Source organism: Homo sapiens, chromosome 16 (assembly GCF_000001405.40).
Source record: "Homo sapiens chromosome 16, GRCh38.p14 Primary Assembly".
Classification (NCBI taxonomy): domain Eukaryota; kingdom Metazoa; phylum Chordata; class Mammalia; order Primates; family Hominidae; genus Homo; species Homo sapiens.
In genome coordinates, this window is record NC_000016.10 from 89,485,760 (window position 1) to 89,508,760 (window position 23,001).

Here is a 23,001-nt window from a genome sequence, read left to right on the forward strand (position 1 = left end):
TTCCCTCCAAAGAGATCATTTTTTCTTCATTAAAATGCTAAAACTTTCATATCACTCCACCTGCTCAGCTACATGTGACCAGAGGGGCCTCCGGACAAACGAGACACTTAATCCTCATAAGCAGCAGCAGCAAACCACACTTAGTCCAGACTGATTTCAACCCATCCTTTACAGTCACTGAGACCTTGATGGAAACGATGAGGAAATCTGAATAAAAACTGCTTCTGGCCCTTCTACTCTGGCCTGAAAACAGCAGTCCTGCTAAAAGTGCTTTCACAGAAAGCACTTTCTTCCCACAAAGACAACTCTCCCTTTATGTTTCTTTATCTCTTGTTCTGCCTTAATTGTGAAAACTGTCTTCCCACCTTTATCTAAGTTATAAAAGCAAACTTGTAATGAAAACAAAAGGGGGCTGAGCACAGTGGCTCATGCCTATAATCCCAACACTTTAGGAGACTGAGGTAAGCCAACCCCAGAAGGCTGAGGCCTACACAACACAGGAAGACCCTGTTTCTACAAAAAGTAAAATAAATTAGCTGGGCACGGCGGCACATGCCTGTGGTCCCAGCTACTCAGGAGTCTGAGGTGGGAGGATCGCTTCAGCTCAGGGAGTCGAGACTGAAGAGAGCCACGTTCACGCAACTGGCCGCTGCCCTCCAGCCTGAGCAACACACCGAGACCCTGCCTCAAAAAAAAAAAAAAAAGACTTACTAAAGGAAGTGATATTACACTAAGACGCAAAGGCTGAGTAGGAGTTATCTTGGAGTTTGGGGGGATCTGCATGAGATGGCAGCGAGGTATGTCGAGGCCATGCCACAAACTATGGCACATGGCCCAACTGAGGAAAGGCAAGGCCAACGCAGCCAGAATGACTGGAAGCTTGGGGCAGGGTCAAGAATGGGGCATGGTATCAGAGTTAGGCCACAGTCACCATTTGGGACGTTATCATAAAAATAACATTTGAGGCCAGGCATGGTGGCTCACGTCTATAATCCCAGCACTTTGGGAGGCCGAGGCAGGTGGATCACTTGAGGTCAGGAGTTTGAAACCAGCCTGGCCAACATGGTGAAACTCCAGTCTCTACTAACAATAAAAAAAAATTAGCCGTGTTTGGTAGGAGGTGTCTGTAATCCCAGCTACTTGGGAGGCTGAGGCAGGAGAATTGCTTAAACCCAGGAGGTGGAGGTTGCAGTGAGTCGAGATCATGCCACTGCACTCCAGCCTGGGCAACAAAGCGAGACTCCGTCTCAAAAAAAAAAAAAAGAAAAAAACAATTTCAAATTAAGAGAACACACACTGAAAACATTTCAAAATTTCAAGACAATAACTTTTATTTGAATTCATTCCATTTTTCTATAAAGTTTATCAAACGGGCCACACTGAATTCCCACAGAGCACTGACTACACAAGAGTCACAAACTGACGCAGCCACCAGACAAGGGATGCACCATCATTTTCACCGATTAACTACAAATACCTTGCTATTAAGAGACACTCACCCATTACACTTACGATTTGAGGATGAAGGGAGTTACACAGAGTAATGGACAGATCAAAACACTTATTTTGGCAACAAAATGCAGATTATTTTCTGAGCCAGCATTTACTGATACTCTCTAATTATGTTATTTAATTGATGATGGGCTCTCTGCCCATATGCAAAATAAGACTCCTCTTATATTTGATGAAGCATAACCTTTCTATGTCAAATCTACTTAAAAAGGCACAAAAAGAGGCCGGGCGCGGTGGCTCACGCCTGTAATCCCAGCACTTTGGGAGGCCAAGGCAGGTGGATCACAAGGTTAGGAGTTCAAGACCAGCGTGGCCAACATGGTGAAACCCCATCTCTACTAAAAATACAAAAATTAGCCAGGCGTGGCGGTGGGCGCCTGTAATCCCAGCTACTCGGGAGGCTGAGGCAGAGAACTGCTTGAACCCCAGGAGACGGAGGTTGCAATGAGCCAAGATTGCGCCACTGCACTCCAGCCTGGGCGACAGAGCGAGACTCCAAAAAAATAAAAATAAAATAAAATAAAAAGGGGCACAAAAACTTCTTGGAAAAATACTGTCCAACACAAACAGCATAGTTTCCTTCACTCTATTTGTAGGGAGTTCTACTTGCCACCGTATCAACACTGTAATTACCGCTAACATGGCAGCCGCTCGTCATCAACAGCCCATCTGGGAGGGTGTGATGGCACTGCTGGTATGGGGTGCCCAGCATGGCCAGTCCGGAGAAAAGCATCTGGCGGTGGCAATGCAAGTCAGAAGGCTGACGCAAATGAGAGCTGCAAAAGAGGAACTCAGGTTTTAAAGGTGACACCTTTAAAAACAAAATTCTGGTAAATTGTGTTATGTATATTTTACTACAGCAAAAATAGAACAGAAGAAAAAAACTGCTGAAAGTTTCAAGTTTAGGTCAAATTTAGCACTATCTTGTGGGGAACTTTTCAACAAACTTAAGAGGCATCACGAAGAACAGAGAAAACGTCACAGCAACTTGGTCTTTGTTCCCTCCCATCCAGTTCCATTCAGATGGCCAGCCTATCGAAGGAGATCCTGCTCTTCGGGGAGAAACTACAGAAAGAGGAGAACAACAGCTGAATGGAGGGTAGGGGAGGCCACACCAACTATACGAGATCCAATGCAAGGGTCACAATGAAGGCTGAGCAAGACATCCGCCCCCCCCCCTTTTTTTCTAGTTTAACTACAGTTGCAGAGTAAAATCAGAGGACTTCTGTAATCATTCTCTAACAGAACTCGAAGTCTTCCAGGGCAGCCAATACTTACTAAGAGAAATCAAGGTCTCAGAGAAACCAAAGAAACAGCCTCAGGGTCTCCGATTTTGAACGTTATGCCATAGACTAGGTCTGCACACAACAAAAACAGTAACTGTTTCGATGGCACTTTTTCCACAGGTAATATCATCTTATATGTTTGGCTAAGTCTCAACATCCCAAAAAGGATCAAAAGATTCTCTAAGTTTTGCAGTTCAACAACTGTGCACACTTTTATTTCTCATTTCAAGTGTTAAGGATATTGCTCTAATGACTGCATAAAACTCTCTCCTCATGTAAGAAAGCCTGAAATCTAATTTCTCTACCATAAAACCCTGTTCTTGCAAAAGGATACAAAACTACTCATAATCTACAAAAACGATGAATCCTAAGCATGTTACATAGAAGGAAAACAGTTTCAAAGCATAGGGAGCTGTTAGACCAGCTTCATCTTCCCAAGCCTCTTCCAAAACTTCTTGGAAGCTGATATATAACACTAACCTTCCAAAAACACAACAGAAGCAGAAAATCTTAATGGGGCACCAGGAAAAGAGCAAGCCTCGAGAAAAATCAAGACTCCCCCCGACCAACCTTCCCAAATAACACAAACACAAGAGTTAACAGTACAATCCCTCTTTGAGAGGGGACTGAATCAATGTGGCAGGGCCAACCCTACACACACACACACACGCGCGCGCGCGCGCGCGCGCACACACATACACCACACACACAGCTACCGCCCTGCCAGGGGATGATGAAATGAGGAACGGAAATTAACATTTCAGGCAACGTCTCACATTGTTCCTTGAGGCCAAGGGCTGCTGTTGCAGCCGCCACCGCCACCGCTTTCCTCCCAGCCACCCCCCACACCCGCCCGCCTACCCTCCCCCTAACACCCCCCACACGGCTGCCCGCATTCCTGCCCCTCCTCGGCCTACGCGCGCCTCCTGCAACCCCGACGCCCCCAGGTCCCCAGTTCGCCCTCCCCCTCCGGCTCGGAGCCCGAGAGCCGCCTGCTCTCATTTCAAAACAGCGATAATAATAGGGACGCTGAGAATAACAACTACGACCAGCACGGCGAAGGCGCCCCTCTCGCGGGTCAGAGGTCGGCGCCCCAGCTCCGCAGAACCCGGCGCCCGGCCAGCGCCCCCTGGCAGCCCCTCCCGGCAGCCTCAGGTCCCCAAGACCTGCAGGCCCGCCCCGAAGCCCCCCGTCCGCCCCTCACGGCCGCTCCGAGCCCCCGAGGCCCGCCCCGGAGCCCCCTGTCCGCCTCTCACGGCCGCCCCGGGCCCCCACGGCCCCCAGGCCCGCCCCGGAGCCCCCAATCGGCCCCTCAGAGCCGCCGCGGGCCCCCGGCCACCCAGGCCCGCCCGGAGCCCCCGTCCGCCCCTTACGGCCGACCCAAGCTCCGCCGACCTCCCAGGCCCCCCCCGGAGCCCCCTATGGGCCCCTCACGGCCACCCCGGGCCCCCAAAGACCCCCGGCTGCCCCGAACCCGGACCCGTAGGCCCGCTCCGGGACCCATTATTGGTCCCTCACGATCGCCCCGGGCCCCCAAAGACCCCCGCCCACCCGGCCCCGACCCCCCAGGCCCGCCCGGAGGCCCGCGGCGCAGCTCCGTCGCCGGGGAAGGCCTGCAGGCCGCAAGGCCGCGCGAATGCCCCGTGCCCGCCCCGACCACCGCCCCCAGACCAGCGGCGCCTCTCACCGTGCTCCGAGGGCTGCGCGGCTCCGCGACGGCTCAGCGGCGGGGCGCGGGCGCTGCCCATGCAGCCCGCGGCCGCGTTTCCCGGGCCGCGCGGCCCGAGCGGCAAGGCGGCGGCGGCGGCGGCGCGGGCTCGGGCCCGGCAGAGCTGCGAGGGACGGCGGGAGGCGAGCCCGCCCCTCGGGCGCGCCCACGGCTCGGGCGAGAGCCGCGGCTCCCGGTGCGGACGCTACTGATGGGGCGTCTGGCCGCGGGCTCGGCGGCGGCGCCTCCCCGGCTGGGGCCCTCGGTCCATCGCGCACCGTCTCAGGGCGGCCTCTGGCTCCAGGACCCAGCGGCGGCTGCGGCGGGAGCCGGCCGCATGAGACGCTCCCGCCCATTGGCCCGCCGTATCCGCCACCGCCATTGGCCCGCCCCGGCCGGCCGCAGGGGCTGTGCACGTCACAGCGCCGTGAGTTAGTGCGCTAATGGAGTGAAGGAGAGAGGCGGGATTGACAGCCTCTCTGGCGGTCCGGAGGCGGGACTAGGAGGACGTCCCGGTAACGATTGGGCAGGGTCCTGCGTAAGGGCGCATGCGACACTGGAAGTAGCGAGCAACTGGATTGGCTGCCTCCGTCGCAAAGGAGGGTGGGTCTTGCATTCTCGGGCCTGACGATTGGTCTTTCCAAGTGCCGGAAGCAACAGGGATGTCGTCTGGAAACAAAATCTGGTATTGAAGCGCAGGGAGACAAAACGTCCACCTCTAGAGCCGAGGCGGCGGTTGCCTGTCGCGTGCCCGTGGTCTTCTGCCTGCCCCCGGACATCTCGGGCCACGTCCGGCCCGGCCTCCGGCCGCGCTGCCCTAACGGGCGTCACGGGGCATGAAGAGCTCTGGGCGGCTGCGAGGGGAGGGTACCGGGGCAGCGGGGCGGTCGCTCGGGGCTCCCGCGCGGTGACTCTTGCTCTGCCGTCGAAGAGAACGGCCCTCGGGCGCGTCGCGGCCGCGGCTCCAGAGCCCCTGGGCCTCGCGCTCTGAGAGCCTGAGCCGCTTGAGGAGGCCAAGCGCCCACGAACCGCATTCCCTGCCTTGCTAGTTAGTTCTCCAACACGCGAAAAAGGTAGACGAGGACTGGTTTTCTTTGCAGCTAAAATGAATCAAGCCTCTGGTAAGTGTGGATCCTGTTCTAAGTGCACCTGTGTTCTCCTCCAGAACTAAACCAAAAAGCAAGGTGAACAAAATCGGTGCTCCTTCAGTTTCTTCTTTAGTTCTGCATGTTACTGGGGACTAAGACAACGGGTAAGCAAACTATTTATAGGCCTCAATTTACGAAATAACGGAATTGCAAAGTCCGGAGTGGATAGGACCGTGAGGACGGTCTTTTTTCTTGGGCAACACGCATTATGGTCGAGAGATCAGTTGTTAAACCGCCCCTGTTCAAATCCCAGCCCTACCAGTGACTAGCGGTCACCCTGTAGGCTTTGTCTCTCAGATCTTCAGTTTCTTGGTGGGTAAAATGGGAACTACAAGTAGCACCTATTCTTTTTTTTTTTTTTTTTTGAGTCAGGGTCTCACTCTGTCGCCCATGCTGGAGTGCAGTGCTAACTGCAGCCTCAGCTTCCCGGGCTCAGAGGATCCTCCCACCTTAGCCTACTAAGTAGGTGGGACCACAGTCAGGCATCACCACACCCGGCTAATTTTTTAAATTTTCGTAGAGATAGGCTCTCTGTGTGTTTCCCAGGCTGGTCTTGAAATCCTGGACTCAAGCGACCCTCCCTCCTCAGCTTCCCAAAGTGCTGGGATTAGAGGCATGAGCCACGGTGCGGGCCAGGAGCACCTATTTCATAGGCCCATCGGGAAGATTAAATGAAGGGGCTGTGGAGGCTGTAGCACGGTGCTTGGCACGTATGTGAGCTCTGGGGAAACATTAGTTATGCTATAACTGGACCTTCAGCCTTCTCTAGGCAGCCAGATTTCGGGCTCCACCCACAACTAGTCACGCCATTGGATGAGGGGTGAGCGCCTGATAAAAACAGCCGGCGTATGCGCTGATGTGCGTTCACGAAGAGGTGATCCAAGTGTTTCCATATTTGCCTCACTGGACGAAGTATTTGGTAAAATTGACGAAATTCAGAGTCCTGGACCCCATCATCACCTATGGAATTATTCTAGATGAGAGGGGACTAGGCATTGGCATTTTTTTATTTTGGTCCCTTACAATACTCATCATTGGGAAAATTTGAAAAACATCAACCTAAGCCGTCATGCTCGCACTCGAGAATGTTTCCCCTAGGCTGATTGACGGGCAGTGGTATTCACAGGTGCGGTCAGCGCAGTCCAGCTTCAAACTTCCGGGGATCAAGTGATCCTCCCGCCTGAGGAGCTGAGATTACAGGCCTGCACCACCATGCTCATCTATCAGGGGAATTTAAAGTGCAAAATATTAATATGAGTAAGCAGGCAGTTGGCCTTCGAAACAGAATCTGAAAATACACTAAGGTAAAAGCAAACTGAATTTCGACAGAAGTAGAACGTGTATGGTAGAGAAAAGAAATGCAGAGTAAAGGGAAAGGAGCCAGGAAATGCACTAATTAGAAAATCTTGGCCAGGCGCGGTGTCTTATGCCTGTAATCCCAGCACTTTGGGAGGCCGAGGCGGGTGAATCATGAGATCAGGAGTTCGAGACCAGTCTGGCCAATATGGTGAAACCCCATCTCTACTAAAAATATGCAAAAATTAGCTGGGTGTGGTGGTGGCGGGTGCCTGTAGTCCCAGCTGCTCAGGAGGCTGAGGCAGGAGAATCTCTTGAACTCGGGAGGCGGAGGTTGCAGTGAGCCGAGATCGCGCCACTGCGCTCCAGCCTGGGCGACAGAATGAGACTTCGTCTCAAGAAAAAGAGAAAATCTTTGAGGTGAGGTGCAGTGGCTCACGCCTGTAATCCCAGCACTTTGGGAGGCCAAGGCAGGCAGATCACTTGAGGTCAGGAGTTTGAGACCAGCCTGGCCAACATGGTGAAACCCCGTCTCTACTAAAAATACAAAAATTAGCCGGGCGTGGTGGCGTGCGCCTGTAATCCCAGCTACTCCGGAGGCTGAGGCAGGAGAATCACTTGAATCCGGGAGGCAGAGGCTGCAGTGAGCCGAGATCACGCCATTGCACTCCAGCCTGGGCAACAGAGCGAGACTCCATCTCAAAAAAAAAAAGGAGTTGGGATTTTATCCTGAGGAAAAAGGTAAGCCGTCAGAGGGTTGTGGGAAGGTGGGCGATGGTCCAACTTGCATGAAAGGATGGCTGTGAGATGATGAACGCACAGAGACAGCAGTGCAGATGGAGTAGAGAGCCACGGTTGGACTGAAGACAGTCGGCAAGGTTTTGTGGGCTGTAAAAGAAGGGTCCAGGGTGAGGTTAGCATTGTCTGGAAGAGAGCTTTAAGGAAGATGCCGGTTTGGGTGAAAAAAGAGTTTAGTTTTGTGCACTTAAAGTCTGAGATGTTCTTTGCACCTCCTGCGTGGGTGATGGGTACAGGACATGAGGGGCGCAGCAACAGAAACCGGAGACACAGCCAGACGGAAGCAGGAGCAGGGAGGCCATCGGGGTGCAGCAGTGCTCCTTGGCCTAATAGCAGCAGGGCACCAGTGAAGGTTTCCAACGCGAGGCCTGAAGATCAGATTCCTATTTTACAACATCAGCCTGGAAACAGCATGAAGGAAGTGAGGCCAAGTGGGAAACTGTGGCAGTAGTTTGAGTAGAAACAGAGCAACAGGAGGATGCAGAGAGGCCGGGGAGGGCCAGGTGGCCAGCACAGCCCCAAGGGGCCATGGTGACAGCTGCTGGAGAACCAGCATTGCCACATTCTCCAACCTGGAAATTAAATTTTTATGGGACATTTCATTAAGGGCAATTAATTTGTAAAACATTCTGTGGGCCAAAGAAAACCTCTCAGATCTACAAAACCCTGATCTGGAGCCCCTGTGGGGGGCATGCTCAAATAGTTGGCCAGGATGCTTGTGTCCTTTAACGCTGTTCCCTGGGCCCCACTCTAGAGATTCTGATTGAGTAGATCTGGAGTGAGATTCAGAAGTGTGCACCCGGCCGGGCGCGGTGGCTCATGCCTGTCATCCCAGCACTTTGGAAGGCTGAGGCGGGTGGATCACCTGAGGTCAGCAGTTCGAGGCCAGCCTAGCTGACATGTTGAAACACTGTCTCTACTAAAAATACAAAAATTAGCTGGGTGTGATGGCAGGCACCTGTAATACCAGCTACTCGGGAGGCTGAGGCAGGAGAATCGTTTGAACCCTGGAGGCAGAGGCCTGGGCTACAAAAGCAAAATTCCATCTCAAAAAAAAAGTGTGCACCCAAGGTGGTCCAGGTGCCATCTATGAAAAACACTCCTGGAGTCATCTTGTATCTCCAGAGCATCCCAGCCTCCTCAGTAAGGCCTGGTCCTTACAGTGCCCATCCCGGGATGCCTCCATTGCTGCTTGCAACTGTGTTTACTATAACTCACCCCACCCCACCCTGAGCTCTTGAATTCATTCAGCAAACATTGATTCGGGGCCTATCACTTAGCACTTACTGACCCAGGAGCTGTAGATTGAGCTGTGAACCCGACTAAGTCCCCAACAAAAAGCTCTTAAATTCTCAGGTGTCTCTCTTCCCTGAAACAAGCTAATTGTTCATTGAACATCAGCCACATGTGGCTCCAGGAAAGACCCGGTGCTGTTTTGTGTAGCCAAACACTCAGGCACTGCCTCTGACGATGCTCTCCCAGATCTGGTACGCTCATGGGGAAGAGCCCAGCGCCAGGCAGTGTTGGACAGCCACCCTTCTGGGAAGGGATGTGCAGACATCATTTTGCCCCTAAGTAAAGGCTTGCAAAGCTACTCCACAGTCCTGCTCCCGCATGACACCCCACTCTCTGCTGTGGACCCACCAGCAACTGCGTGCACAGTGGGACCCTCTGCCCCTTCCTTACAGATGAGCCAGAGGTCATGGTAAAGGGAGGCAGCCCAGCCCCCTGCATTCTTTCTGCTTCCTCTTCTCCAGAAGTGGCAGAAACGGGCGGAGCAGGCCCACCTCTGGCCTTTCCCTTCTGCCCCCTCCCCCTGGCCCTGTGGTGAGAACTGACAGCTCAGTCTGAGTCCAGCAGGCCTGGCCTCAGCTCTGTGGTCAGCCCCAGCTTACCAGCATTCCTAGCTTTAGGATTTGGAACCCAAGCTCATTTCACAATAAATTGTGATGTGTCTTGCTTCCCAGTTACCATAACTGTGGGGTATCACCTTCCAGATCTCAAAGGCAGGAGGTGCTGTGGGATGAAACGATATTCAGATATTCTTGGAGCCCCTGACCTCGGGTCCATTAAGCTACACCCCAAATTTTTTTTTTTTTTTTTTTGAGACAGAGTCTAGCTCTGTTGCCCGGGCTGGAGTGCAGTGGCGTGATCTTGGCTCACTGCAGCTTCCACCTCCTGGGTTCAAGCAATCAACCTGCCTCAGCTGCCCGAGTAGCTGGGATTACAGGCGCCCGCCACCACGCCTGGCTAATTTTTGTATTTTTAGTATTGACGAGGTTTCACCATATGGGTCAGGCTGGTCTCGAACTCCTGACCTCAGGTGATCCACCCACCTCAGCTTCCGAAAGTGCTGGGATTACAGGTGTGAGCCACCACGCCCGGCCAATTTTTAAAACTCTAAACTCCGTACTTTGTCGGTAGCCCTATCAATTGCAGTGTCTATTGTCAAATACTATTTTCTGTTCTATTTTATCCCCAATTTTTATTGTGGTAAAATACACATAACATGAAATGTACCGTCTTTCTTTTTTGTTGTTGTTGTTTTTGTTTTTCCTTTTTTTTTAGAGACGGGGTCTCATTCTGTCCCCCAGGCTGGACTGCAATAGTATGACCAAGACTCACTGTAACCTTAAATTCCTGGGCTCAAGGGATCCTCCCAGCTCAGCCTCCTGAGTAGCTGGGACCACAGGTGTGACTCACCACACCTAGCTAATTTAAAATTTTTTATTTTTAGAGACTGGGGGCTCACTGTGTTGTGAGGCTGGTCTCGAACTCCTGGCCTCAAGCAGTCCCCCAACCTCGGCCTCCCAAAGTGCTGGGCTCACAGGCGTGAGTCACCGTGCCCAGCCTCATAACATCATGTTGTAAACCTCAAATATATATAAAATGTATTGAAAAAAGGTAAAAAGCTAGTTTTTTTTTTTTTTTTTTTTTTTTTTTTGAGACAGAGTCTCCCTCTGTCGTCCAGGCTGCAGTGCAGTGGCATGATCTTGGCTCACTGCAATCTCTGCCTCCCGGGTTCAAGCAATTCCCCTGCCTCGGCCTCCCGAGTAGCTGGCACTATAGGCATACACCACCACACCCGGCTAATTTTTTTGTTTTTTAGTAGAGACGGGGTTTCACCATGTTGGCCAGGATGGTCTCCATCTCCTGACCTCGTGATCCACCTGCCTCGGACTCCCAAAGTGCTGAGATTACAGGTGTGAGCCACAGGGCCTGGCTTTTTTTTTTAATTTGAGACAGAGTCTCGCTCTGTCACCCAGGCTGGAGTGCAGTGGCTTGATCTCAGCTCACCACAACCTCCGACTCCCGGGGTCAAGTCATTCTCCTGCCTCAGCTGCCCGAGTAACTGGGATTACAGGCACCCACCACCTTGCCCCGCTAATTTTTTTATTTTGAGTAGAGACTGGGTTTCTCCAGGTTAGTCTGGCTGGTCTCAAACTCCCGACCTCAGGTGATCTGCCCACCTTGGCCTCCCAAAGTGCTGGGATTACAGGCATGAGCCACCGCGGCCAGCCAACTTTTAAAAAGTCATATTAGGGCCGAGTGCAGTGGCTCATGCCTGTAATCCCAGCACTTTGGGAGGGCTAGGCGGGCAGATCACCTGAGTTCGGGAGTTCGAGACCAGCCTGGCCAACGTGGTGAAACCCTGTCTGTACTCAAAATAGAAAAATTAGCCAGGCACGGTGGCACATGCCTGTAATCCCAGCTACTTGGGAGGCTGAGGTGAGAGAGTTGTTTGAACCGGGGAGGCGGAGGTTGCAGTGAGCTGAGATCGCGCCGTCGTGCTCCAGCCTAGGAGATGAGCACGAGACCTTGTCTCTAAATAAATAAAATTAAATTGTGGCCGGGCGTGGTGGCTGACTTCTGTAATCCCAGCACTTTGGGAGGCCAAGGCGGGTGGATCACCTGAGGTCCAGAGTTTGAGACCAGCCTGACCAACATGGAGAAACCCCGTCTCTACTACAAATACAAAATTAGCTGGGCGTCGTGGTGAATGCCTGTAATCCCAGCTACTCCGGAGGCTGAGGCAGGAGAATGGCTTGAACCCGGCAGGCGGAGGTTGCTGTGAGCCGAGATCGCGCCATTGCACTCCAGCCTGGGCAACAAGAACAAAACTGTCTCAAAAAATAAATTAATTAATTAATTAATTAAATTAAAGTCCAGCTTTTAGCCGGGCACAGTGGCTCATACCTGTAATCCCAGCACTTTGGGAGGCTGAGGCGGGCGGATCACCTGAGGTCAGGAGTTAGACCAGCCTGACCAACATGGTGAAACCCCATCTCTACTAAATACAAAAAATTAGCTGGGCGTGGTGGCAGGCGCCTGTAATCCCAGCTACTCCGGAGGCTGAGGCGGGAGAATCCCTTGAGCCCTGGAGGCGGAGGTTGCAGTGAGCGTAGATCGCGCCATTGCACTCCAGCCTGGGCGACAGAGCAAGACACTGTCTCAAAAAAAAAAAAAAAAGTAAACAGCTAGAATTTTAAAAAGTCATATTACCTACAGAGATACTTTTAATTCTTCCTTTGCAATTTACGTGTCTTTTATTGCTTTTCTTCTCTTTTTGTTTTTCAGAGATTAGTTGTCACTGTGTTGCCCAGGCTGGTCTTAAACTCCTAGGCTCGAAGGAGCCTTCTACCTCAGCCTCCCAAGTAGCTGAGACTATAGGCGAGCACCTCCACAACATGCACTTTTTATTTCCTTTATTTTAATTTTTTTTTATTTTTTTATTATTTTTAGAGATGGGGTCTTGCTCCGTCACCCAGGCTGGAGTTCACTGCAGCCTCAAACTCCTGGGCTCACTCAACCCTCCTGCCTCAGCCTCCCAAAGTATTAAGATCACAGGCATAAGCTACCACGCCCAGCCTGTACCTTTTATTTCTTTTTATTGCCTAATTATAGCCCTATCCGTTTTGGTGTCATTTTAAAGTCTAAATATATGATGTGTTTTTTTGTCAATATATCACAAATTACATATTTACAATCCAACTGGGAAGCTTGGGAGTAAAAAAAAAAAAAAAAAAAAAAAAAAAAAAAAAAAAAAGTCGCCGGGCGCGGTGGCTCATGCCTGTAATCTTAGCACTTTGGGAGGCCAAGGTGGGCGGATCACCTGAGGTCAGAAGTTCAAGACCAGCCTGGTCAACATGGTGAAACCCGGGAGACGGTGGTTGCCGTGAGCCTAGATCACCGCACTGCTGAGCGAGACTCCATCTCAAAAAAAAAAAGAAAACTTCTCAGGACTTTTTCGTAATAAGGCTGTCATAATACTGCCTGATGTATTTTATGTAATGAATTGCAGACTGCAGAAAGCAGGGACTTAGCTGAGAAAATTAATCGTGCACTCATTCAGCAAAGGTTTCAGGGCCTGCTGTGTGGAGACACGGTTCCAAGCACTGCTGCAGTAGCAGGGAGGAAACAGAACGGACCTCAAACGCTGTCCCAGCAAGGACTCCAGTCTCTGCCTTGTGGATGTGTAACTGGCACATGATGTACCAGAAACTCCTGTGTGTGGTTGTATCCGGTGCGTGACACAGTACTCTCTCCAGCTGCTCCTTGGATTTGGGAAGCAGCCGAAGATTTACGGGCCATGGAGGCTCCTTCTATCCCTGGAAATCGGCCCTTGGGAATTAAGCTGAGTTATGTGGTTAAAGCCGTCATGACAGCCATCCCCTGGCTGGGCCAGTTCTGGGAATAACTATAATGCTTATACTACAGGATGGCCAATTCAGAACTTCTTACTAGTGCTGAATTCAATAAAGGTTTAATAACACATTTCTCAAATCCTTAACAGTACTTTAGGACGTCTCAGCTAGAGAGGGCTTGCAAGGGATTCTTATTTATTTTTTATTTTTTTTGAGACAGAGTCTCGCTCTGTCGCCCAGGCTGGAGTGCAGTGGCGCCATCTCAGCTCACTGCAACCTCCACCTCCCATGTTCAAGCGATTCTCCTGCCTCAGCCTCCTCAGTAGCTGGGATTACAGGCACCCGCCACCATGCCTGGCTAATTTTCCTATTTTTAGTAGAGACGGGGGTTTCACCATGTTGGCCAGGTTGGTCTCAAACTCCTGACCTCGGGTGATCCACCTGCCTCAGCCTCCCAAAGTGCTGGGATTATAGGTGTGAGCCATGAGTCTCATATGACAAGTTCCCTTTTAAAATGCATAAAATCACAGATACCTTTGTCTGGAAAAATAGGTTTTTTTTGTTTTTTGGGTTTTTTTTGAAATAAGGTCTCTATCACCTAGTCTGGGGTACAGTGGCAAAATCAAGGCTCACTACAGCCTTGACCTCCCAGGCTAAAGCAATCCTCCCACCTCAGCCTCCGGAGTAGCTGGGACTAGAGGTACACGCCACCACCCCCAGCTATTTTTTTTTTTCTTTTTTTGTGCAGACAGGGTCTCACCATGTTGCCCAGGCTGGTCTCAAACTCCTGGGCTCAAGCAATCCTTCTGCCTTTGCCTCCCAAATTGCTGGGTTAACAGGCATGAGCCACTGCACCCAGCCAGAAGATATTAATAACATTTCCAGGAAATTTAACAGATAATGTTTCATATGTTAATGAGCAGGAGTTATTGTGGGAGGCTGAGGTGGGAGGATTGTTTGAGGCCAGAAGTTGAGACTAGCCCAGGCAACATAGCAAGACCTCAACGCTACCAAAAGTAAAAACTTAGCTGGGTGTGAGGCTTGCCTGAGCCCAGGAGGCCAACGCTGCAGTGAGCCGTGATCATGCCACTGTCCTCCAGCCTGGAAACAGAGCAAGACCCCATCTTGGAAAAACAAAACAACACAGGGAGAGCATAGGTGCTCAGTGTCATATGAATTAATACATTTTGTTACTGAAACCCAGTTTTACTTTGCAACTTTAAATTTTTTTCAGAAACATTAAAGAATATATTTTGTATGAGTTAAATATAGAAATGCTACTGGCTGTTCCTGAGTTTTAGTTTTAAATTACTGTCAATCATTCCTCAGTGGTCCCATGCACAGTCCCCATGCTGCAGGGAGGCCAGCTCCTCTGGGCCTCGTGGAGTAACGGTGTTGCTTAGCCCATATCCTCCTGGACAAGTGCTTTGGTTCTTCCCTTTACCGGTAAAGTGTTGCAAACGTAGTCTATCGAGTTTGTTCTATTTCATCTGTTCTGTTTACGAAACTGTAACTTCATATAGGACTGCCTTAGGGCTGAAGTAAATAAACTGTCAACCTAAATAAAACATAAAACAGGCCGGGCGCGGTGGCTCACGCCTGTAATCCCAGCACTTTGGGAGGCCGAGGCGGGCGGATCACGAGGTCAGGAGATCGAGACCATCCCGGCTAAAACGGTGAAACCCCGTCTCTACTAAAAGTACAAAAAATTAGCCGGGCGTAGTGGCGGGCGCCTGTAGTCCCAGCTACTTGGGAGGCTGAGGCAGGAGAATGGCGTGAACCCGGGAGGCAGAGCTTGCAGTGAGCCGAGATCCCGCCACTGCACTCCAGCCTGGGCGACAGAGCGAGACTCCGTCTCAAAAAAAAAAAAAAAAAAAAACATAAAACAACAGGGACAGGCCGGGTGTGGTGGCTCCCAGCACTCTGGGATGCCAAGGTGGGCGGATCATGAGGTCAGGAGATCAAGACCATCCTCGCTAACATGGTGAAAACCCATCTCTACTAAAAATACAGAACATTAGCCAGACATGGTGGCGCGTGCCTGTAGTCCCAGCTACTTGGGAGGCTGAGGTTGGAGAATTGCTTCAACTCGCGAGGCGGAGGTTGCAGTGAGCCGAGATCGCGCCACTGCACTCCAGCCTGCATGACAGAGCAAAATTCCGTCTCAAAAAAAAAAAAAAAAAATACACAGCAGGGACGGGGATGGTAAACCCAAACTGCATGCTTTCGTTCAAGGTTTCAAGGTGTGTATAAAGCAAAAGTACCTGTCCATCTCCAGATAATCTTGAACTTAACCTGATCAGCCCTTGTGCTCCCCAGCCAAAGCTCACTGAGCGTTCCAGAAACCAGAAAGGCATGCTGGTCTCTGGAAGGCTGCTGAAAGCACCCCAGGAAAATCCCAGCACCAGCCCAAGTCCACTCATGTGGTTCTGTTTGTCCATGGGTCCGCGAGGTGAGGAGGTCTGAAGTGGGCCAGCCGGGGTTCGGATTTTATGTAGAAATGACTACCTGTAGCTGGGTACGGTGGCTCACGCCTGTAATCCCAGGACTTTGGGAGGCAGAGGCGGGTGGATCAGGAGGTCAGGAGATCGAGACCATCCTGGCTAACACGGTGAAACCCCATCTCTACTAAAAATAGAAAAAAATTAGCCGGGCGTGCTGGCAGGCGCCTGTAGCCCCAGCTACTCGGGAGGCTGAGATGAGAATGGCGTGACCCGGGAGACGGAGCTTGCAGTGAGCCGAGATTGAGCCACTGCACTCCAGCCTGGGCAATAGAGCAAGACTCCATCTCAAAAAAAAAAAAAAATGAAATGACCACCTGTTCCTTGTCAAACCAGCCCTTTAAGTTACAACAAAAAGAAAGCCCTCCTCCTGCTCCATGTCCACACTGAGCCTGGTGTCTGCGGCCCTGTCCTGGCGTTTCAGAGGCCGGTCTGGAGACTCACCCTCATCGCCCTCAGCAGCTGGGCCACCAGCAGCCACATGCTGGCCTCTGCTGGCTTCTCTCTTCCTGGCGCTGCAGATCAGAGAACGCAGCCCAGAGTGGGCACCAAGACACCCCAGGCTTTACTGGATCCTCTGGGAGAACCAGCCCCATGCCTCGGTCCTGCCAGGATCCTTACCTTCTGGCACTGCTGCAAAAGCCTCCCTCCTCCCTGGCCTCACATTCCCACCTCTGGCCTCTCTAGAGTCCATTCTCTCAGCAGCCAGTCATGCTTTTACCACAGACTTTATTAGTCCTCAGCAGCACTCCCCCTCGGACTCTCCAGCATTCCCTGGCCGCTCCCCACTCCCCTGCTACCTGCCCCCTCCCAACTGGCCACACCCTGGCCATCAGTTAGTCGGACTGCAAGCTTGTCCAGTCCAAGAGACTAAACGGTCCAGTCGAGCCACTCCCAGATTCCTGACCCTCAGAAACAGAGTGAGATAAGCATTTGTTGTTTTAAGTTGCCACGTTGGCGAACTCGGAATGCACTGCCCAGGGCCGTGGGGATTCCCGTCACGTGGAGAGGACATAGGCTGTCCCTTCCAGGTCCTTAAACACCTGCCCAAAGTCCCACACCCAACAATCTAAAGAAACGCTGAGGAATACATGATTATTTAGTCATGCTCAAATTCCTGTACAGGTTTCTTGCTAGTAGAAACGGACTTTCCGCCAGGCGTGTTGGCTCACGCCTGTAATCCCAGCACCCTGAGAGGCCGAGACAGGTGGATCACCTCAGGTCGGGAGTTTGAAACCACCCTGACCAACATGGAGAAACCCCGTCTCTACTAAAAATACAAAATTAGCCGGGCGTGGTGGCACATGCCTATAATCCCAGCTACTTGGGAGGCTGAGGCAGGAGAATCGCTTGAACCCCGGGAGGTGAAGGTTGTGGTGAGCCGAGATCGAGCCATTGCAGTCCAGCCTGGGCAACAAGCAAAACTCTGTCTCAAGAAAAGAAAAAAAAAAAAGGAATGAACTTTCCATCTTCTTTTCTTTTTTTTTTTTTTGAGACGGAGTTTTGCTCTTGTTGCCCAGGCTGGAGTACGATGGCGCGATCTCAGCTCACAGCAAACTCCACCTCCCGGGTTCAAGCCATTCTCCTGCCTCGGTCGGCCTCCAGAGTAGCTGGGATTACAGGCATGTGCCACCACGCCTGGCTAATTTTGTATTTTTATAGAGACGGGGTTTCTCCATGTTGGTCAGGCTGGTCTCAATCTCCAGACCTCAGGTGATCCGCCCACCCTTTTTTTTTTTTTTGAGGTGGAGTCTCACTCTGTCGCGCAGGCTGGAGTGCAGTGACGCGATGCGATCTCGGCCCACTTCAACCAACACCTCCTGGGTTCAAGCGATTCTCCTGCCTCAGCCTCCCAAGTAGCTGGGGTTACAGGCGCCTGCCACCACACCCAGCTAATTTTCGTATTTTTAGTAGAGAGGAGGTTTCACCATGTTGGCCAGGATAGTCTCCCAACTCCTGACCTCAGATGATCCACCCACCCTCGGCCTCCCAGAGTGCTGGGATTACAGGCGTGAGCCACGGTGCCCAGCATTTTTTTTTTTTTTTTTTTTTTTTTTTTTGAGACGGAGTCTCACTCTGTTGCCCAGGCTGGAGTGCAGTGGCGCGACCTCGGCTCACCACAACCGCCACCTCCCGGGTTCAAGCGATTCTCCTGCCTCAGTCTCCCTCCTGAGTAGCTGGGATTACAGGCGCCTGCCACCACACCCAGCTAATTTTCGTATTTTTAGTAGAGATGAGGTTTCACCATGTTGGCCAGGCCGGTCTCCAACTCCTGACCTCAGGTAATCCAGATCCAACCACCTCGGCCTCCGAAAGTGCTGGGATTACAGGCGTGAGCCACCACGCCCAGCCCCATCTTTTAAAGAAGAATAAAATCTGGTTCTACATGGATGAGTAAAGCCCAGTTAACAAGTGATATAAGAAGAAACTGTTTCCTAAGAAAGAGCTTCAGGAAGAAAATGTACTAAAATTTACAGAGATGAACTCGTTTATTTTCAAGCATTCCACAAGGTAACATGTTTTATGTAAGACATCCTCATATTCAACACATACCTTATTGTTCTGCCTGACTTTGCTTCAGCAGGAGGAGTCGCCGTGGGGGCGGCTTTGGCCATCATTATGGGTGCTGCAGTCCAAGAGCTCTGGAGGCCAGGCTAACTGCAAAAGCAAATGTACTTAAAAAAATTTTTAAGTTTAGTTGCTGCCAAATTTGGAAAGAAGCAAATATGTAATTATTTGTTCAGATATTAATAAGGAAGCCTAGATTTTTTTTTTTTTTTTTTTGAGACAGTCTTGGCCTGGCGCGATGGCTCATGCCTGTCATCCCAGCTACTCGAGAGGCTAAGGCAGGAGAATCGCTTGAAGCTGGGAGGCAGAGGCTGCAGTGAGCTGAGATCGCACCACTGTACTTCAGCCTGGGCAACAGAGTGAGACCTTGTCTCATAAAAAAAAAGACAGGGTCTCACTCATCACTGAGGCTGGAGTGCAGTGGCAAGATCTTAACTCACTGCAGCCTCCACCTCCCAGGTTCAAGCGATTCTCATGCCTCAGCCTCTCGAGTAGCTGGAACTACAGGCATGTTGCCACCGTGCCTGGCTAATTTTTTTGTATTTTTAGTAGAAAGAGAGTTTCGCCGTGTTGGCTAGGCTGGTCTTGAACTCCTGACCTCAAGTGATCCACCTGCCTTGCCCTCCCAAAGTGCTGGGATTACAGGCGTGGGACATAGCACCCAGCCAGAAGCCTAGATCTTTTTTTTTTTTTTTCAGATGGAGTCTCTGCCTCCCAGATTCAATCGATTCTCCTGCCTCAGCCTCCCAAGTAGCTGGGATTACAGGCACCTGCCACCGTGCCCGGCTAATTTTTTCTATTTTTAGTAGAGACTGGGTTTTACCATGTTAGCCAGGATGGTCTCATCTCCTGATGATCTCGTGATCCACCGGTCTCGGCCTCTCAAAGTGCTGGGATTACAGGCATGAGCCACCGCCCCAGCCAGCCTAGATCTTAAAATCAAAAAAAGTCCCAAAGATCAACTTCTGTCTCTGGAATGTTAAACGTTACTGTTTGATAGATGAGGCAACTGAAGTTTGTAGAGCACCTTGCCTGAAGCTTCAGCCCACAGCAGGAATAAGGGACAGAGCCTAGAATGCTTCTGCATCAACAGGGAACAAAGGCATGGGGTCTCCTCTCTGTCCACCTTCCCTTCCCACAGCCCAGGCTGAAAGGGCTGCCCTAGGCGCTCCTGAGGCCTCCTCTCTTATGGGGCTAGAGCTGAGGGAACCTGGGGTTGGTAGCCATCCAGAGACCTAAGGCGTGCCCTGACCCAAACCAGGAGTCACCAAGAGACTGCCTCTAGAGAATAGGCGGGGAAGGGAAGTCACACCAAGTCCAAGCGCAGAGTTCAGAGGGCTGAGGAGGGGTGACGCGGAAGTACAAATGAGTAAGCAGCAGTTAGGAAGTGTGCCAAGTCCTGACGTGCAGAGTTCAGAGGGCTGAGGAGGGGTGACACGGAAGCACAAATGAGCAAGCAGCAGTTAGGCAGTGCAGGAAGAACACACAGGCGGAGAAGGGAAAGCGAACGTCCTGCTCTGCTGCAGGCTATGAGGGCAAAGGCAGACCCGGGAGCCCACTGTCCTACAGATCCTTCTTCTTGAATCCAAATCATGCAGCAAAATAAAAACAAAACCCCCAAACCATGGGGCACCCGAATCCTTAAACAAAACCCCTACTGCTTGAGGCTACGTGAGCCTCTGCTGCTGCCGCCACTACAGCAGGGGCTGAAGCTGAGAGCTGAGAGTCACGGTTCACCTGTAGGGCCTGGGATGCAGCCAGCCTTCAAAGCACGGTTGTTAGAGATGAGTTTGAATAAATGCATAAATACTCTGTTCCCATATCCTCATTTCCCATGACGTCCCAGTAATAACTCTGGATGCCAAGGCTTCCTGGCTCGTCAGTTGCCCTCACACACATTTATTGCATTTTATCTTCATAACCACCCTGTGGGAAACCCAAGGCTGATATTAGCCTTGCTTTGCAGATAATTATCATCCCCATTTTACCGCTGAGAAGATTGAGGCTTGAGGAAGCTAATAACTTGCTTAAGGTCATAGGCCAGAGGAGACAGAACCCAGTGTTCTTTCCCCAGAGGAGGCCTCTTGCCAACACCCCACACTGCTTCTGATGAATTGCCAGGAAACAATTTTAACTTATCTCAAACAATATTAATAGGACTACACTTAAACTCCTCCCAAACACATCCAAATGTGTGCCCTCACCCTCTCTCCAGCCTTGTCCCGTGACCAACCCAACCAAACTTCCGAAAGGGTTTTTTGTGTTCTAGGAAGTGACCGAGCCCCACAACCCTTTATGCCTGTGCGTTCAGAGGATTTGTGACCTTTTTTTTTTTTTTTGAGATGGAGTCTCGCTCTGTCGCCCAGGCTGGAGTGCAGTGGCGGGATCTCGGCTCACTGCAAGCTCCGCCTCCCGGGTTCACGCCATTCTCCTGCCTCAGCCTCCCGAGTAGCTGGGACTACAGGCGCCCGCCACAGCGCCCGGCTAATTTTTCGTATTTTTAGTAGAGACGGGGTTTCGCCGTGTTAGCCAGGATGGTCTCGATCTCCTGACCTCGTGGTCCGCCCGCCTTGGCCTCCCAAAGTGCTGGGATGAAGGGCAGGGAGAGGGAGGGGGAGGGCACCGCGCCCGGCCCACCTGGTGTCTTTCAATCAGGGAAAGAAAAAATAGTGGAGGAGGAAACGGCAAGGTTGGATTCACTGCGAAGGCTGACTGTACAATAAGAAGCAAAAGGAAAAGCGGTTCAGTTGTGAAAATCAGTGTCAGCCCTGGGTGTAGGGGAAGGTCCTCTCCACAAACCAACAGAACACCTCCCCAGCCCCGAGCACCTCTGCCGAGGCACCCGGCCCACTGGAGGGCTGAGGGCGGATAACCACGATAACTGAAAACACTTTCCTGAGCGTCTCGGGGCTGAGGAAGAGGGAGGATTACACGCAGCCCACTGGCTTTGCAACCTCGTCTGTAGTGGTGGAGTGAGTGCAGGTCCAGAAACAAACCAGACCGGCCTTGAAATTCTGCCCTAACTTCAGAGCTGTAATCCTAGGCAGGTTACTTTTAATACTTCTGAATCTTTCTTTACATGTAAAATAGAGGTATTGTATTCGCTGCACAGGGTTGTGAATATTACATGGGTGTTCGACACGGAGCTAGGCACTCGGTGATGTTGGCTGTCGTCACTGGCATTCACTGTTACGAATTTGCGGAGTACAGAAAAGCATAAAAATAAATAGGTCACCCTCATCCTACCTCTGTGACAGACCATCTAGTCTTTGCTTTTCCTACTCAACAAGCTTTCCAGCTCTTGGCGTCAGCTCTAGACCTAAGGCGGACGGAGGAAGGGGTCGGGGTGGCGGAGGACCCCGCGCGCCTGGGAGCCCACGAGGGACCCTGCCCGGGCCCGGAGGGCGGACCCTGAAGAGAACAGAGCCTCTTCCTAAGCTTCCAGACGGCGCCTCCCCGCTTCCTACGATGGGCTCGCGCAGCGGCCGGGGCAGGACCGAGGCTCGAAGCGCCTCCGAGGTGAGCCAGTCCGAAGGCACAGGACGGAGCGCTCCGAAGTCAGAGGTGTGCGGGACGAGCTCTGCAGACGCCTGCCAGGCCGCGCCGCACTGCGCGCTCCCTCCCTCACGACCCTCCTCCTCCGGGGCTGCCCTCCCTGCGGCGGCTGCAACTTCAGTCCTCGTCCTCGGGCGGCTCAAGACGCAGGAAAACCGCCCCCTTCCTGCGCTCCTCACACCCGAAGGGGCCCTCCCGACCCGAGGCCTCCGGCGCCGCCCTCCTGAGCGCGGGCCTCTACTCGCAGGCGGGATTCCGGCCCGCACCATCCGCCCTCGCCTGTGACCGAACCCTGCGGGTGACGCAGGCTGCCCGGGCGTGAGGCCCCTCGGCGCGGGCGGAGCACGACCACGCAGCCACGACCCGGCCGGTTATTCACCCGCCAGGCCCTGGGAATACAAGGCCGGCTTCAAAAAAACCAGGGCACCCGCGACCTCCTCGCAGACGCGCGCCCCCATACCCGGGCCTCAGGCAGCCACGAGGTAGACGGGCTCAGGCTCGGGGGTGCGGCAAGCGGCACCCGGGCGCGGCGGGGCGCAGCTGTGGGGACCGCGCAGGCGCCACGTCAGACCCCGCCCACCCCGCCGCGCAGGCGCCGTGTAGCGCCCCGCGGATCACGCAGGCGCGGCTTTCAGGCCAACATGGCCGTGCTGCTGCTGCTGCTCCGTGCCCTCCGCCGGGGTCCAGGCCCGGGTCCTCGGCCGCTGTGGGGCCCAGGCCCGGCCTGGAGTCCAGGGTTCCCCGCCAGGCCCGGGAGGGGGCGGCCGTACATGGCCAGCAGGCCTCCGGGGGACCTCGCCGAGGCTGGAGGCCGAGCTCTGCAGGTAAATCCCCGCGGAGTCCGGGCCCCACCTCCCGCCCGGCTCTGCTCTGTAAGGCCCAGCCCGGCGGGGCGGGTCGGAGGCCGCCTGGCCCCTGCGGCGGGGGAGCCTGCGCCTGTGGGCCCGCGGATCCCCCAGCTGTGGACCTCGGCGCGGAGCGACT

General features: G+C 52.6%; 2 protein-coding genes and 2 long non-coding RNA genes across 14 annotated transcripts in view, besides 18 other annotated features; 2 read left to right on the plus strand and 2 right to left on the minus strand.

The window, feature by feature from the left end:
- Positions 1-4,802, minus strand: part of ANKRD11 (ankyrin repeat domain containing 11) — a 222,932-nt gene extending 218,130 nt beyond the window's left edge. For all 4 annotated transcript variants that reach the window (NR_045839.2, NM_001256183.2, NM_013275.6 and 1 more), the window contains exon 1: positions 4,486-4,802. The gene's annotated coding sequence lies outside the window, so the exon portion shown is untranslated. The remainder of the gene's footprint in view (positions 1-4,485) is intronic.
- Positions 1,489-1,989: an enhancer, noted in NCBI's record as "H3K4me1 hESC enhancer chr16:89553656-89554156 (GRCh37/hg19 assembly coordinates)". NCBI's record gives its function as "activates a minimal SCP1, AML or CMV promoter by ChIP-STARR-seq in primed H9 embryonic stem cells {active_cell/tissue: H9 hESC(primed)}" and the evidence as "EXISTENCE:reporter gene assay evidence [ECO:0000049][PMID:30033119]".
- Positions 1,990-2,490: an enhancer, noted in NCBI's record as "H3K4me1 hESC enhancer chr16:89554157-89554657 (GRCh37/hg19 assembly coordinates)". NCBI's record gives its function as "activates a minimal SCP1, AML or CMV promoter by ChIP-STARR-seq in primed H9 embryonic stem cells {active_cell/tissue: H9 hESC(primed)}" and the evidence as "EXISTENCE:reporter gene assay evidence [ECO:0000049][PMID:30033119]".
- Positions 1,990-2,538: a biological region, named in NCBI's record as "H3K4me1 hESC enhancer GRCh37_chr16:89554157-89554657".
- Positions 2,269-2,538: an enhancer, noted in NCBI's record as "active region_11412". NCBI's record gives its function as "activates an Ori minimal core promoter by ATAC-STARR-seq in GM12878 lymphoblastoid cells {active_cell/tissue: GM12878}" and the evidence as "EXISTENCE:reporter gene assay evidence [ECO:0000049][PMID:35858748]".
- Positions 2,689-2,758: an enhancer, noted in NCBI's record as "active region_11413". NCBI's record gives its function as "activates an Ori minimal core promoter by ATAC-STARR-seq in GM12878 lymphoblastoid cells {active_cell/tissue: GM12878}" and the evidence as "EXISTENCE:reporter gene assay evidence [ECO:0000049][PMID:35858748]".
- Positions 3,348-3,861: an enhancer, noted in NCBI's record as "H3K27ac hESC enhancer chr16:89555515-89556028 (GRCh37/hg19 assembly coordinates)". NCBI's record gives its function as "activates a minimal SCP1, AML or CMV promoter by ChIP-STARR-seq in naive H9 embryonic stem cells {active_cell/tissue: H9 hESC(naive)}" and the evidence as "EXISTENCE:reporter gene assay evidence [ECO:0000049][PMID:30033119]".
- Positions 3,348-3,877: a biological region, named in NCBI's record as "H3K27ac hESC enhancer GRCh37_chr16:89555515-89556028".
- Positions 3,658-3,727: a silencer, noted in NCBI's record as "silent region_7903". NCBI's record gives its function as "represses an Ori minimal core promoter by ATAC-STARR-seq in GM12878 lymphoblastoid cells {active_cell/tissue: GM12878}" and the evidence as "EXISTENCE:reporter gene assay evidence [ECO:0000049][PMID:35858748]".
- Positions 3,768-3,877: a silencer, noted in NCBI's record as "silent region_7904". NCBI's record gives its function as "represses an Ori minimal core promoter by ATAC-STARR-seq in GM12878 lymphoblastoid cells {active_cell/tissue: GM12878}" and the evidence as "EXISTENCE:reporter gene assay evidence [ECO:0000049][PMID:35858748]".
- Positions 3,862-4,376: an enhancer, noted in NCBI's record as "H3K27ac hESC enhancer chr16:89556029-89556543 (GRCh37/hg19 assembly coordinates)". NCBI's record gives its function as "activates a minimal SCP1, AML or CMV promoter by ChIP-STARR-seq in naive H9 embryonic stem cells {active_cell/tissue: H9 hESC(naive)}" and the evidence as "EXISTENCE:reporter gene assay evidence [ECO:0000049][PMID:30033119]".
- Positions 3,958-4,007: a silencer, noted in NCBI's record as "silent region_7905". NCBI's record gives its function as "represses an Ori minimal core promoter by ATAC-STARR-seq in GM12878 lymphoblastoid cells {active_cell/tissue: GM12878}" and the evidence as "EXISTENCE:reporter gene assay evidence [ECO:0000049][PMID:35858748]".
- Positions 4,582-5,061: a silencer, noted in NCBI's record as "silent region_7906". NCBI's record gives its function as "represses an Ori minimal core promoter by ATAC-STARR-seq in GM12878 lymphoblastoid cells {active_cell/tissue: GM12878}" and the evidence as "EXISTENCE:reporter gene assay evidence [ECO:0000049][PMID:35858748]".
- On the plus strand, positions 5,211-13,523 carry LOC101930112 (uncharacterized). The gene is made up of 2 exons (XR_933895.4): positions 5,211-5,627; positions 12,327-13,523. It is a non-coding gene; the product is annotated as an uncharacterized LOC101930112 (long non-coding RNA).
- Positions 5,262-5,351: a silencer, noted in NCBI's record as "silent region_7907". NCBI's record gives its function as "represses an Ori minimal core promoter by ATAC-STARR-seq in GM12878 lymphoblastoid cells {active_cell/tissue: GM12878}" and the evidence as "EXISTENCE:reporter gene assay evidence [ECO:0000049][PMID:35858748]".
- Positions 5,472-5,521: a silencer, noted in NCBI's record as "silent region_7908". NCBI's record gives its function as "represses an Ori minimal core promoter by ATAC-STARR-seq in GM12878 lymphoblastoid cells {active_cell/tissue: GM12878}" and the evidence as "EXISTENCE:reporter gene assay evidence [ECO:0000049][PMID:35858748]".
- On the minus strand, positions 6,644-22,561 carry LOC101927863 (uncharacterized). Of its 2 annotated transcripts, NR_188547.1 has the most exons (5): positions 22,478-22,561; positions 20,200-20,388; positions 19,286-19,394; positions 18,448-18,552; positions 6,644-6,874 (listed from the first exon to the last, which is right to left on the minus strand). It is a non-coding gene; the product is annotated as an uncharacterized LOC101927863 (long non-coding RNA). The 2 variants fall into 2 exon arrangements; NR_188548.1 differs by lacking the exons at positions 20,200-20,388; positions 22,478-22,561 and adding an exon at positions 19,490-19,711.
- Positions 20,089-20,138: an enhancer, noted in NCBI's record as "active region_11414". NCBI's record gives its function as "activates an Ori minimal core promoter by ATAC-STARR-seq in GM12878 lymphoblastoid cells {active_cell/tissue: GM12878}" and the evidence as "EXISTENCE:reporter gene assay evidence [ECO:0000049][PMID:35858748]".
- Positions 21,958-22,027: a silencer, noted in NCBI's record as "silent region_7909". NCBI's record gives its function as "represses an Ori minimal core promoter by ATAC-STARR-seq in GM12878 lymphoblastoid cells {active_cell/tissue: GM12878}" and the evidence as "EXISTENCE:reporter gene assay evidence [ECO:0000049][PMID:35858748]".
- Positions 22,148-22,357: a silencer, noted in NCBI's record as "silent region_7910". NCBI's record gives its function as "represses an Ori minimal core promoter by ATAC-STARR-seq in GM12878 lymphoblastoid cells {active_cell/tissue: GM12878}" and the evidence as "EXISTENCE:reporter gene assay evidence [ECO:0000049][PMID:35858748]".
- Positions 22,428-22,987: a silencer, noted in NCBI's record as "silent region_7911". NCBI's record gives its function as "represses an Ori minimal core promoter by ATAC-STARR-seq in GM12878 lymphoblastoid cells {active_cell/tissue: GM12878}" and the evidence as "EXISTENCE:reporter gene assay evidence [ECO:0000049][PMID:35858748]".
- Positions 22,629-23,001, plus strand: part of SPG7 (SPG7 matrix AAA peptidase subunit, paraplegin) — a 49,381-nt gene continuing 49,008 nt past the window's right edge. For 5 of the 7 annotated variants that reach the window (NM_001363850.1, XM_017023598.2, XM_047434538.1 and 2 more), the window contains exon 1: positions 22,629-22,841. In NM_001363850.1, the coding sequence (NP_001350779.1) occupies positions 22,659-22,841 (183 nt within the window). In that variant the 5' untranslated portion in view covers positions 22,629-22,658. The remainder of the gene's footprint in view (positions 22,842-23,001) is intronic. The other 2 variants (NM_003119.4, NM_199367.3) reach the window with 1 other exon arrangement.